The sequence below is a fragment of the Homo sapiens genome, chromosome 3, assembly GCF_000001405.40.
Source record: "Homo sapiens chromosome 3, GRCh38.p14 Primary Assembly".
NCBI lineage: Eukaryota > Metazoa > Chordata > Mammalia > Primates > Hominidae > Homo > Homo sapiens.
Genome location: NC_000003.12, coordinates 185,781,341 through 185,794,880, shown reverse-complemented (window position 1 = coordinate 185,794,880; position 13,540 = coordinate 185,781,341). Strand labels below are relative to the sequence as shown.

The 13,540-nt window shown below is 42.6% G+C and overlaps 1 protein-coding gene across 31 annotated transcripts in view, besides 3 other annotated features; it reads left to right on the top strand.

Moving 5' to 3' along the window:
* The window catches only part of IGF2BP2 (insulin like growth factor 2 mRNA binding protein 2), a 181,913-nt gene that overhangs the window by 30,162 nt on the left and 138,211 nt on the right, over window positions 1–13,540 (top strand). The window lies entirely within an intron of this gene.
* Window positions 4,539–5,432: an enhancer, noted in NCBI's record as "NANOG-H3K27ac-H3K4me1 hESC enhancer chr3:185507237-185508130 (GRCh37/hg19 assembly coordinates)". NCBI's record gives its function as "activates a minimal SCP1, AML or CMV promoter by ChIP-STARR-seq in naive H9 embryonic stem cells {active_cell/tissue: H9 hESC(naive)}" and the evidence as "EXISTENCE:reporter gene assay evidence [ECO:0000049][PMID:30033119]".
* Window positions 7,219–8,110: an enhancer, noted in NCBI's record as "NANOG-H3K27ac-H3K4me1 hESC enhancer chr3:185504559-185505450 (GRCh37/hg19 assembly coordinates)". NCBI's record gives its function as "activates a minimal SCP1, AML or CMV promoter by ChIP-STARR-seq in primed H9 embryonic stem cells {active_cell/tissue: H9 hESC(primed)}" and the evidence as "EXISTENCE:reporter gene assay evidence [ECO:0000049][PMID:30033119]".
* Window positions 9,897–10,790: an enhancer, noted in NCBI's record as "H3K27ac-H3K4me1 hESC enhancer chr3:185501879-185502772 (GRCh37/hg19 assembly coordinates)". NCBI's record gives its function as "activates a minimal SCP1, AML or CMV promoter by ChIP-STARR-seq in primed H9 embryonic stem cells {active_cell/tissue: H9 hESC(primed)}" and the evidence as "EXISTENCE:reporter gene assay evidence [ECO:0000049][PMID:30033119]".

Below are 13,540 nucleotides of genomic sequence, written 5' to 3'. Positions count from 1 at the left end.
CTAATTCATAGAAACAGAAAGTAAAATGGTAGTTGCCAGGGGCTAGAGAAGGGGGAGGATGGGGAGTTTCTGTTTTATGGGAACAGAGTTTCAGTTTGGCAAGATGAAAGAAGTTCTGGAGATGGATGGTGGTGATGGTTACACAATGGCATGAATGTACTTACCACCACTGAGCTGTTTACCTGAAAATTGTTAAAATAGTAAATTTTATGGGTTTTTTTTTTATCACAATGAAAAAAAAAGATGTGACCTCCAAATAAAGCCAATGTTTTGAAAGGCTTAAAAAGAAGCACTGTTGGGAAGGGAACTCTGGATGTGCATGGACACTTGAATGAGATGGTAAAGTCTAGGGTAAGGAATACTGGCCTGAGTCCTATCTCATCTGGTTCTGTCATTAACCAGCTCTGTGATCCCCCATTGGGCTGTTAGTTTTCTCATCAGTAATGCGAGGATGTAAGTTAGTTGATACTCAACCTTCCTGTCTGTTCTAGAATTCTGTGAGTCTATGATTAAGTCCTTAGCAAAGAAATATTTAGGAACAACTGCCTGTGTGAGGATAAGGAGCCAGACACACCTGTGATATGAGGGCAGCCCGGGTCTCTAGGATCTGCTCTGGGCCAGGTGTGGTGGCTCACACCTGTAATCCTAGCACTTTGGGAGGCCAAGCTGGGAGGATTGCTTGAGCTCAGGAGTTTGAGACCAGCCTTGGCAATGTAGTGAGACTCTACCTCTCCCAAAATATACATATAAAAAAAATTAGCCAGGTGTGGTGGCATGCACCTGTAGTCTCAGCTGCTTGAGAGGCTGAGGCGGGAGGATTGCTTGAGCCCAGGAGGTTGAGACTGCAGTGAGTTTGTTTGTACCACTGCACTCTAGCCTGGGCGACAGAGCAAGACTCCGTCTCAAAAAAAAAAAAAAAAAAAGGAATCTGCTTTGACCATTCCTTATCTGGGGCATGTTTGCAAACACAATCAGTATCTTCAATCTACTGTCCATCCTACCTTACTGCTCCCCAGGCAGGGCCAAAACTCCATAGAGCTGTTAGATTCCAAGACTGGGAATCTTGGAATTCCAGGGTTCCAAACCTGCTTTGACACCAGGCCCAGAGACAGGGCTGTTTCTCTCAGTGCTTTAGACTGAGCAGTTGTGTTATCAGAAGAAATCAGTTTCTTACTGCCTCAGGATGGGCCGTAACTGTTCCTCTCAAGTTTTCCTTGTTTTCAGCAACCCATAGAAAAGAGTCTCTCTTACCTAGGCTGATGTGTCAATTATATCAAAGTTGTTTCTTTTTGGTTTGGAGCGTGTAATTTGGTACCAAGTTAATCTGTCCCCTGAGGTTTCATGTAGGCTCATGTTAGCAGAGTTTTGCTTTTGTTACACACACACACAGACTGTCAGGTTGAAACGCACAGTGCCATTGTGGTCAGCATGTGGATATGTTGGGTGAGAGGAGGTATAGGCAGCTTGGCGTGAAAAGTAGAGACCATTTTACTGGGCTAGGTGCTTTATGTGGGCTATCACTGATCTCCCAACATCCCTGTGTGGCAGCCTTATTCCTCAGAAGAGGAGACTGAGGTTCAGATTGCCACTCTCCCAAGGCCACCAGCGAGAAAGGTGACAAACCTTGGATCTGAATTTAACAACTATCTTAACTGCAAAACTTGTGTTCTTTCTGCCACACCACACCTTTTTTCCCCTGCAGAGTGTGCTGGACTGCAAACACTCCTTAATGTAGGAAGCCATATAATTGCGCAGTAAGATAATTCCAGAAGACTAGAATAGAATCAGTAGCCAACCACATTTGTAACCACCCCTGTAATGTGCTGAGATCTGAATAGTTTGAAGATGTTGAGCCGTGTTTGTGATCACCATGAGCAAAGTGTTGAGTGCCTCTTGTGTGCCCTTGTGTGCTAAGGCAGTAGAATATTCTGGCTGAGATAGAGGAGGAAGAGCTGTGGGCTGCTCATGAGAGGGTCTTGTGTGGTGTGGGAACTGTCATGGGAGTCCAGTGCTACTAGTTCTTCGCAGGTCTCTCTGTGGTACCTTTGGGGAATGATGATGATATGACCAAATATTCTTATTTTGATTGCACCTCTGTATTTTTTTTTTTTTTTTGAGACGGAGTCTTGTTCTCTTGTACAGGCTGGAGTACAGTGGCATGATCTCGGCTCACTGTAACCTCCACCTCCGGGGTTCGAACAATTCTCTGCCTCACTCTCCCGAGTAGCTGGGATTACAGTTGCCCGTCACCAGGCCCGGCTAACTTTTTTGTATTTTTTAGTAGAGATGGGGTTTCACCATGTTGACCAGGCTGGTCTTGAACTCCTGACCTCGTGATCCACCCGCCTTGGCCTCCCAAAGTGCTGGGATTACAGGCATGAGTCACTGCGCCTGTAAAAATTATTTTTTACAAAAAAAAAAATAATTTTTGTATTCTTAGTAGAGACGGGGTTTCGCCATGTTGGCCAGGCTGGTTTCAAACCCTGGGCCTTAAGTGATCCAATTGCCTCAGCCTCCCAAAGTTCTGGGATTATAGGCATGAGCCACCCCGCCCAGCCCTGTTTTTAAACTGTTTGTGTTGAGGAGAAAAGCAGATACTCAATTTCAAAACTAGTTGGACTTTATTCTTTATAGCTGCTTTTTTGGAGGGGCCATAATTTGACGGTACCTGAACCCATTAAGTAATCATCTACTTTTTAACAGGATTTACTGTAACTTGATGATTTGTCTGTGATCATGTATTCAAGCCGATGGTAGCAGTAGTAGTAATATCTTTAGTAAGATGGATTTCAGTATGAGAAGATGCTTCTGGATTTAGTGAGGTTTGGAAATAAAGGAACAGCCCCTCTTGTCTTCAAATACTTGCATGATCCATGCCAAATATGGGAATATTACACCTCCCATCTTTCCTTCCCATATGTTACCGTCCTAGAAGATCCCCCATTGTCACAGTGGCCCTTTATTCCTTCTCCTTCCCTCCAGCTCTGCCTTAGCAGAGGTGTAGTGGAAGAAGTGAAGAATTAGGAATGTGGGGGTTCATCCCTGGAACTGTAGCATTTTTGTTAGAATGTGTTTTTGTGTAGAAACACTGTTAAATGAATAATAGGTTACATGATGCTATAAGCAGTCAGTGGCTGGTTAGGATATTTAAGCATATTTCAAAATCAAAGTATTCCATTGTCTTCTCTCTCTTCTTCCTACTAAAGATGAACCCCCTTGATGAGCAGATAGGCCCTGTGAAAGATGGCCTCCAGGTGATGTCAGCTCACTGTGATGCACACCTGGAGGAAGGGGCTCTCTTATCTTTATCTGGGTGTCAGCAGGTATTATTAGCCTAGTGCCTGGCACAGAGGACACGCCCAGAGATCCTTGTTGAATTTGGTTGAGTTGAAGAAAGAAAAACTTTTACTTTCTCCATTTCCATTCTTGGCAGTTTCTCAAGAAATGTCTTTTTCGAGACAGGCTCTTGTGCCATATTTTACAGGCTGGGCGCAAGCTCCTGGGCTTAAGCAGTCCTCGTGCCTCAGCCTCCCAAGTAGCTGGGATTACAGCTAGAACTTATGTGAAACTCAAGAATTTATGTCGAACTCTTCGTCAGAGCTGGAAGTAGGACATACAGTTGGATTTATTTATTGATCTTTTTATGTACTTATTCATCAAAGGTTTGTTAATCACCTATGTGTGATACACCAGGCACTGTCAGACACTAAAAACACAGCAGTGGACCAATACAGTTCCAGTGCCTACCCTTTAGACAGCCTGGTGGGAGAATATGGACCATAATTAGACTAGCCAGGTCTGGGGTCAATTGTCATCTAGAAACTCCTGCTATTTTAGAAATGCATAAGCTGACCTTGAATAAGCCATTTCTGGGGGCAGAATATCTTTTTCTTTCCTTAAATGCTAGTGATGAAAAAGTACTTTTAAAATTATTCAGAATTGTCCTTAACAATAAACTAATGAAAAACATGATGTGGGCAGTTTACCATTACGTAGTCTTTGATTAGACAGTAATTCTTACTTCTCTTCCTTTCAAATAAAGTCTTATAGTAACTTGAGATATTTTTGAAAGGTAACACTCTTTTTTGAATATTCTGCTACTAAATTATTAATTTTCTGAGTTTTCTATTAAGGCAAACATCAAGTTTCCTTGTGGCTGGTGACTAATTCAGATGCATACTGTTTCTATTCATAGCTCCCCAATCTTAGGTAGAATTGAGCAGATTTAACATGAATAGCTTCCTCTAGTTTCACACGGAAAAAACAATTTTAGGAAGGAAAGGTAGGAACATGATAATACAGAAATCAGCGAAGTAAAGGGTGATTGGCTGGTGGCTGGGGTTGGAAGAAAGTGAAATTTTTCTTGTTATTCTCTTTGTGATGGAAGATTTCTTTCCATAGATTAGTATAATTTACGTGGGCTGTTTGAAGAGATTACCTTCTTAGTGGTTCCCTTAAAGCTCTTTGTTATGTATATCCTGAAGCCCAGTCACTTCTTCCCACTTGTTTTTGAGTGTTTGATCTAGACAATGTAAAGGCACTTTTAAGATAAAAATTATTGTATTTGGGGGACTTTGGGAGACTCACTTCCCAATCATTTTGTTTAGAAGCAAAAATGATTAAACAGTACTTTATGTCAGATCTGCCTGTTTAAGGGATTTGAGCACACCTGGTAGCAAAGAGGTTTAACCTAGTTTCTCAGATGAAAACTAGAGGTGGAGGAAGGACGAGGAAGCAGTCCAGGGTGAGCTGAGGAGCTGGTTACCTTTAGCCTACTTCTGGGATGATGCACATTGTCGTCTAGGTCAGTCAGCCTCCTCAGCCCATGCATTAAGATTCCTGGTTGCAGCTGGGCACAGTGGCTCACACCTGTAATCTCAGCACTTTGGGAAGCTGAGGTGGGCAGGTAACCTGAGTTCAGGAGTTCAAGACTGGCCTGGCCAACATGGTGAAACCTCATCTCTACTAGAAATACAAAAATTAGCCAGATGTGGTGGCGGACGCCTGTAATCCCAGCTACTTGGGAGGCTGAGGCAGGAGAATCACTCGAACCTGGGTGTTGGAGGTTGCAGTGAGCCAGGATTGTGCCACTGCATTACAGCCTGGGTGACAAAGTGAGATTCTGTCTCAAAAAAAAAAAAAAAAAAAAAAAATTCCTGGTTGTTAGTAACAGAAACTCACATAGTCTAGCTGAAGCAAAAGGGGTTTTTTTTTTTGCTTACTTAACTAGATTTCAGGAAGAGCTGGAATGAGGTGGGTTTTAAGGACATTCATAACCAGGGACTTGAAACACAGCTGTGTGCCCTATGTGGCTCCGTGCTCTCCTCACCTTTTATCTCTTAGTGTTGCGTTAATTTTTGTCTTGCTGCTGGTGGGCTTCCTCTACATGGAAGGGGATATGACTGTGGTCATTGCCCATCTATAGACATCTTTATTGCTGTGATCTGAGAGAAAACAGGCTTCTTTTCCCCCAGCTTAAGTTTGACAAATCCCAGGGAAGAATGGTCACTGGCCTAGCCTAGGTCATGTGTTTGTGACAGTTCTAAGGGGTGCGTGATAGGCTCAGCTTGTGTCACATGCCCAGGGAGGTCACACAGATGATACCCTGAGGGAACTGCTGTAAACAGTTAAGATACAGCAGTTTTCATGCATTTTTAGTCCATATGGAACTCAGCTCAAACAACTAGTTAAGATTCTTTCCTTGATTCATTGAAAATCTTTTACAGTCTTTGTTGATGCTGGTGCCTGTAATCCCGGCTACTCAAGAGGCTGAGGCGGGAGGATCGAATATTCGCAGTGGCCTGTGAATAGACACTTCACTCCAGCCTAGGCAACATAGTGAGACCCTGTCTCAAAAAAATAGAATGAGGCTGGGCACAGTGGCTCACACCTGTAATCCCAGCACTTTGGGAAGCAAAGGCAGGCAGATCACCTGAGGTCAGGAGTTTGAGACCAGCCTGGGCAACATGGTGAACACCCTGTCTCTACTAAAAATACCAAAATTAGCTGGGTGTGGTGGCAGTGCCTGTAATCCCAGCTACTCGGGAGGCTGAGGCAGAATTACTTTGAACCCAGGAGGTGGAGGCTGCAGCGAGCTGAGATCGCGCCACTGCGCTCCAGCCTGGGCAGAGTGAGACTCTATCAAAAAAAAAAAAAAAAAAAAAAAAAAAGTCGTTTGTCAGTTTTGGACTTTACAACCAGTAGACTTGAGATTACATTTCTATTTTACTCTGTTTGTTTTTCCACAGGAACCCAGACTAGCACTTATGCTGTAGTGTGTTCTCAAAAACTATGGTTGACTGACTGAACTAGTGAAATAAACATATCAAGGCATTGAAACATACAACTTTATTATTATTATTACTTTTAGAGATGGGGTCTTGCTCTGTTGCCCAGGCTGAGAGTGCAGTGGCGCAATCATAGCTCTCTGCAGCTTCTAGCTCCTAGGCTCAAGTGGTCCTTCCACATCAGCCTCCTGAGTAGCTGGGACAACAGGTGTGTGCCCAGCTAATTTTTTATTATTTATAGAGACAAAGTCTCCCTATATTGCTCAGGTTGGTCTTGAACTCCTAGGCTCAAGCGATCAGCCCACCTCGGCCTCCCAAAGTGTTGGGATTACAGGTATAAGCCACTGTACCTGGCTGAAACATACAACTTTAGAGATGACAGGGATCCTAGAATCCACCTGCCTTCAGTAGTTTCAGTTATAATGTGGGGTCTCCCAAATACTAAGGACCCAGCAGTAAAAGAGGGTAAACACTTTTTTCACATTTCTAAATACAGAGCCCTGTTGTAGGAACAGAGGGTACTTTGATGAAACAGACAGATAAGGAAAGTCCTTGCTTTCATGCAACTTAGATTTACATGAAGAAAATCTTGACGTGCTAACTAGAATGCCTAATTTCTTTTTGATTTTTGCCACGAATGAATCTGAAGCTCTGATTGTCTATATTACCTTTAAGTAATTGTTTAAAAAAACAAAACAAATTATTAACAAATGATGTTGATCTGTTGGAGAAAATAAGTGAAAGGAGTTCTTGGTGCTGAGAAAACAGCATCCATCCTGGCTAAGAGCTCAGTCTTTACAGCTTCCCATCTCAGCACTCCACTTGCAGCTTTGTAACTCGTGCAAACTGTTTTTTTTTTTTGAGACAGAGTCTCACTCTGTTGCCCAGGCGGGAGTGCAGTGGTGTGATCTTAGCTCACTGAAGCCTCTGCCTCCTGAGTTCAAGTGATTCTCGGGCCACGGCCTCCTGAGTAGCAGAAATTACAGGCTCCCACTACCACGCCCAGCTAATTTTTGTATCTTTAGTAGAGGTGGGGTTTCACCACGTTGGCCAGGCTGGTCTCGAACTCCTGACCTCAAGTGATCTGCCCACCTCGGCCTCCCAAAGTGCAGGGATTACAGGCGTGAGCCGCCGCGCCCGGCCTGTCAGAGCTCTTTTAGCCTCAAATTCTTCAGTTATAAAATGAAAATATCTACTCATTTTTTTTTAGTGGGTATTGAACAAACGTTAAATATTTTTTAAATGACATATTTTTTATTTCTTTAAGTGATTTTTTTCATTGTGGTAAAATACATATAACATCGCCTTTACCACCCTAACCATTTTTAAGTGTGCAACTCAGGAGCGTTAACTACATTCACGTTGTTTATGCAGCCATCGCCACTATCTATCTCCAGAACTGTCTTTGTCTTGTAAAACAGAAACTCTATACCCATTAAACAGTAACTCGCCATTGCCCCCCTTCCAGCCTCCGGCCATCACCATTCTACAAATGGTTACTTTTTTATAAATGTTAAGATTTCAAAAAATGTTAGCTATTATTCCTCTGGATCAGGAGTCAGCAGACTCCAGCCCACAGGACAGATTTGGGCAGTAATTTGTTTTGGTGGGGTCCTTGAACTAAGAAAGGCTTTTACATTTCGAAAGGTTGTGAAAACAAAACAAAAAATAAAGAAGAATATGCCTTAGAGGCAGTATGTGGCCCACAAAACCTAAAATACATTTATTATCCAGTCCTTTACAGAACAGGTTTTCTGACCCCTGCTGTAGATCTAATCTTTTTTGATCAGGGAGTCCTTTCAGATTTTGATGAAAAAAAATGTATATGTAGGTTTCCACGTATCTTAAGAGGGTTCTGTCACGCGCGTCCATGTGAAGAGACCACCAAACAGGCTTTGTGTGAGCAACAAGGCTGTTTATTTCACCTGGGTGCAGGTGGGCTGAGTCCGAAAAGAGAGTCAGCGAAGGGACCTAGGGTGGGGCTGTTTTATAGGATTTGGGTGGGTAGTGGAAAATTACAATCAAAGGGGGTTTTTCTCTTACGGGCAGGGGCGGGTCACAAGGTGCTCAGTGGGGGAGCTTCTGAGCCAGGAGAAGGAATTTAACAAGGTTAATTGCTCAGTTAAGGTGGGGCAGGAACAAATCACAGTGGTGGAATGTCATCAGTGAAGGCAGGAACCGGCCATTTTCACTTCTTTTGTGATTCTTTACTTGCTTCAGGCCATGTGGACATATACGTGCAGGTCACAGGGGATACGATGGCTTAGCTTGGGCTCAGAGGCCTGACAGGTTCTACGAACATTTTCTCTACACCAGGATTTCTCAGTGGGGCCATGTTGCCTCCAGGGGAGTGAACATTGATTCTTGGGGGGAGTGAAATCTTAGCTGTTGTAATGACTTGCAGCCTTTCAAAGGGACGCAGTACATCAACAGATACATAGTTTATCTTTGGTATTAAAATTTCTTGGCGGGGGTAGTGGGTGGTAATGGAGCGATTTGAAAAAAAAAAAGTTTAATTAGCTCATTAGGGGAGCGATAATGAAAGATAAGTTTGAAAAACACTGCTTAAAACTGAATTCTGGAAGACAGGACATGTATCTTATCAACCTCTGAATATACCTGCATTTAGCAGAGACTTGAGAACATTTTCTTCAGTCTATTTAATTTGTTATCTTGTAGTTGAATGAAAGAATCCTTAGATCTACTTTTAATGACCAATTCAGTCTAGAAATGGTTTACACAGTGAACTCTATGCCCTGGAATTAATTAATTAATTTATAAAGAGGCGGGTCTCCCTTTGTTACCCAGGCTGGGGTGCAATGGCCCCATTGTAGCTCACTGTAGTCTCAAACTTCTGGGTTCAAGTGATCCTCCTGAGTAGCTAGGACTACAGGTATATGCCATCAGGCCCAGCTAATTATTATTATTTTTTTTATTTTTAGAGGCAGAGTCTTGATATGTTGCCCAGGCTGGTCTCAAACTCCAGGCCTCAAGTGATCCTTCTACCTTGGTCTCCCAAGTTGCTGGAATTACAGGCACAAGCCACCATGCTGTGGACATTTTAATTTCAAAACATCTTTTAAATCCTTTAGAAGTTTGTCAAATGCTTAAGTCTCCCTGATATATCAGACAGATGCTTCTTGCCTATTAGACCAGAATTCCATTTTTTTTTTTTTTAACACTCGTTATTGACACAGTAAAATGAGTGTCTAAATGCTGGGGCATAACGGTCTCTACCCCGAAAGCTCCATATAAGCTCTTCGCAATCATGTCGTTTCTTTTTTTTTTTTTTTGAGAAGGAGTCTCACTCTGTTGCCCAGGCTGGAGTGCAGTGGCGTGATCTCGGCTCACTACAGTCTCCATCTCCCAGGTTCAAGCGATTCTCCTGCCTCAACCTCCCGAGTAGCTGGGATTACAGGTGTGCGTCACCATACCCAGCTAATTTTTGTATTTTTAGTAGAGGCTGGGTGTCTCCATGTTGGACAGGCTGGTCTGGAACTCCTGACCTCAAGTGATCTGCCTGCCCCTGCCTCCCAAAATGCTGGGATTACAGGCATGAGCCACCGTGCCTGTCCCACGTCAGCTGTTAATTGAAAAGAAAACACAGGCATTTCATTATTTTCCCTGAAAAAATTAAGTCTGATTTAGAATATATAAATTTTGACAGCACACCACTGAAATGTCAGGAATTTAGGTCATCCTGACTTGCCTCACAGGCAAAGACTGTCTTAGGCATCTCTGTATCCCCATTGCCTTGCACATAGTAGGTGGTTAGTGAATGAGCTTCTGGGACTGGCTGTACTGGTGATACTTCTGCAAATGCCCATTGTACCCTTGAGTTCTCCTTACAATTTTTCTTTGGCCCAGCTTGCCCTCTCACAGACCCATCTCTGTACATACAGTTTGACTTGGTTTCTACTACCAGTTGACCTTTTTGCTGCCGTTGCAGGGTTTGATGATGATGAATAGCAGGGGATCGCTGGAACAGCATTCATTGCATGGGGAAAGTGTTCATAGCATGAGCAGTGCTGATGCAGTAGTACCCAGCTCTGTAGCTGCTCAGAGGGTAGTGTGTGGAGGGCCCCTAAAGAGCAGTGTAAAGGATTGGTGCCTCCTGCTGTGCTGTGCTGGAGGTGGCCTTTGACGGGTGGGATGAGCCATTCCATTCTGAGTGCTGAGGGAACTTCCTAGAGATCCAGCAGGTCAGTGTTCCTCAAATATCTCTACTGAAATTCTCTTCAGAGCAGGATGCCCGAGGGGATGGAGGATGTTTCGATCAAAGTGACCTCTGTAAACACAAAACTTTGTCTGTCTGTCTGTCTGTCTATCTATCTATCTATCTACTTGTTTATTTATTTAGAGACAAAGTCTCACTCTGTCGCCCAGGCTGGAGTGGAGTGGTGCGATCTCAGCTCACTATAACCTCTGTCTCCCGGGTTCAAGCAATTCTTCTGCCTCAGCCTCCCAAGTATCTGGGACTACAGGCATGCGCCACCACACCTGGCTAATTTTTTGTATTTTCAGTAGAGACGAAGTTCACCATGTTGGCTAGGCTGGTCTTGAACTCCTGACCTCAGGTGATCTGCCTGCCTTGGCCTCCCAAAGGGCTGGGATTACTGACGTGAGCCACCTCGCCAGGCTGTTGTTTATTTAATTTTGTTTTTTATTTTAAAATATTAACAAAGATTGTGTATATTTTTCGTATGTATGTATAATAACTTTCTGTCAAGGTACTCTACTATATGTTTGCTTTAACGTAAAAATATCAAAAAATATTTTAAAACTTCACAAGGGGTTGATATTCCACAAAAATGTGATATCCTTTATAATAAACTGGGGAAAATATGGACTACACCCATTCTGTATCCCCACCCCATCACTCTGAATCCCTGGGAAGATTTACATCATAGATGGGGAAGCATAGCTGAGCTACTGGTTATGCACAAATAGGTATTAACCACTTCGGCCAGTCAGGTCTTGGAAGTAGAGGTCTGTTTTTACATAAGGTGATAAAGACAATGAGGTACAGAGGCAATGACCTTTGGCTGGTGACCAAGTAACGGCTCTCATAGACTTTCCCTGGTTTATGTCCCTAAGTTTGTAAACACCTCCTGGGTTGGAATCTTGGGAACTCTTTGTCCTGCCCTCAGGGGTGAGAACTCCACTTTTGCTGACCTTGGCAATCACAGTGGCTTTCTACCACCTTAAGTCCTTCTTCCCCTGTGCAGAGCTCCCTGTAACCCTGGAGGGCCTAGCCCACTCTCCCACCTGAGGGCCATTGTGCAGTTAGGCCTTCCATGACCTTCTCAGAGCAGAGGCTTCAATCTATTTTCAGTAAGAGTCCAGATGTTTAGAAATCTGTATAGGTGAGGGGCACATTTACTTTTATTGCTGTTCGTAGAACAAGAAGGACCACTCTTGGTTTGCAAGTATCTTGTGTGTCTCAACTGTGAATCATATATATGATAACCTTTAATCTTATCACTATCCTTTTATCCATAAACCTTCATAATTGGTCTAGCTTCACCATGACACTTTAGTGGAATTAAACTTGAACTAAAAACTATGTAATTAGAACTATTAATTGTGTTAGTAACTTGATAACACAAGGCCCACAGCTGACAGGTGGTTAATCCCAACTACATAACTTCTTCATATGTGCTCTTAAAGATGGAGTTGAAAACAATAACCACCACAAGACTTTGGGAGAACATCTCAGGTGGGTGTTACTTGGTGACCATGCCAGAAAGCCAGCGACTTCCACCTCCCAGTCCCCACCCTGGGATCCTGGTGAACTTCATGCCGGCTCTTCTCTGTGTAAGAGCCTTGTACCCTGTGAGTTTCATGCTTTGACTTATTCTAGTCACTGTGTGGACACAGTTATGTAGCTATTTTCAGGTAAGACCAGTGTAGGTATGCCTGTTAATTGACAGTCTGCGCTCCCAGTGATGGAATAAAATTACTAGGAATAATTATTTTTTGGTGACCACCTTGTAAGTGCCATGGTATAGTGGAAAGCCCTTTTCAAAGGGTCTCAAAATTAGTGGATGGTAATATAACTTTCTATGTAAACGAATGTGAGTTTCTTGAACATGGTAAATTAGAGAACACCATGCCCAAAAGGTTAATTCCAAGCAGAGATAGTCGGTGAAACGTTTCAAGACTATTTGAAGCAAACACATGATGCTTCTAGTCTAGTTGAATATCAATGTGATACAGAGGAAAAGGGGTAGATTTTGGAGTCAAATGGACCAATATTAGAAATTAGCCGTGTGATTTTAAGCGAGTTTTAAATACCTTCAACCTGTTGTTTTCTCATCTAAGAAAAGGGAGTTGGGGGCTAATAATTCTCTACATCATTAAAATTTTCCTGGCACATTAAGTTCCTGGCACAAAGAGGGTGTTTTTAGCAGTACTCACTACTAGGGCCATCTCTTCACTCTTTTCTTTCTGAACGAAGAAGGAAGGAGTTGTCTTACTCTACTGAGTCACGGTTTAAATTTAGCAAGATCTCAGAACCAGTACATATGTTTTAAATGGTTATGGGAAATATGCCTTCTATTTGAAGTGAGCTGTGCTTGATTCATATTTTTTAAACAATATATATATTCTGCCCAATTCTAAAAAAAAATATTTCAAGTAGCTAATTCACTTCTTAGTCATACTATGAACTCCCAGGACCTTATCCCACAAATGCAGCCCTGGTTAGAACTATTCAAAGAGCCTTTGATGCTTCAAACCCACTAACCCCATTTTGCACATTTCCCCAAAGCAAACGCACTCATGCATACACACACACACACACACACAAACACAAACAACTTATGACCCAACTTTTGGGAACAATGTTAAAGCAAACAAACAAAATTCTTAGAAAGTTGTGAGGTGCTTAAAATAGTTTGATTTTTAAATGATTGAGGAGCTTTTCCCATAAGACTTGGTGCTTGCTGCTATAAATAAAGGCATGCATATATGTCCAGAGTTGTATCTCTCTAGTCACAATGCTTAAACCGACTTCAAGAAGTCAGTTGTATTATTTTAATATTATTATTTAATATCCAGGATCCACTGTAACCTTTTAACCCTGTTAACGCCAAACCTTTAAAAAGAGTTTAACTTCACAAAGCCTATAAGTCAGATTGAGAATATTTCACATGAAAAGCTTCCAGGTGTCACTTACCTTTAGAAATGGAATTTTTCAGCCTATTATTCGGGACAGACAACTAGATTCTTCCTTTCCTCCCAGCTCCTCA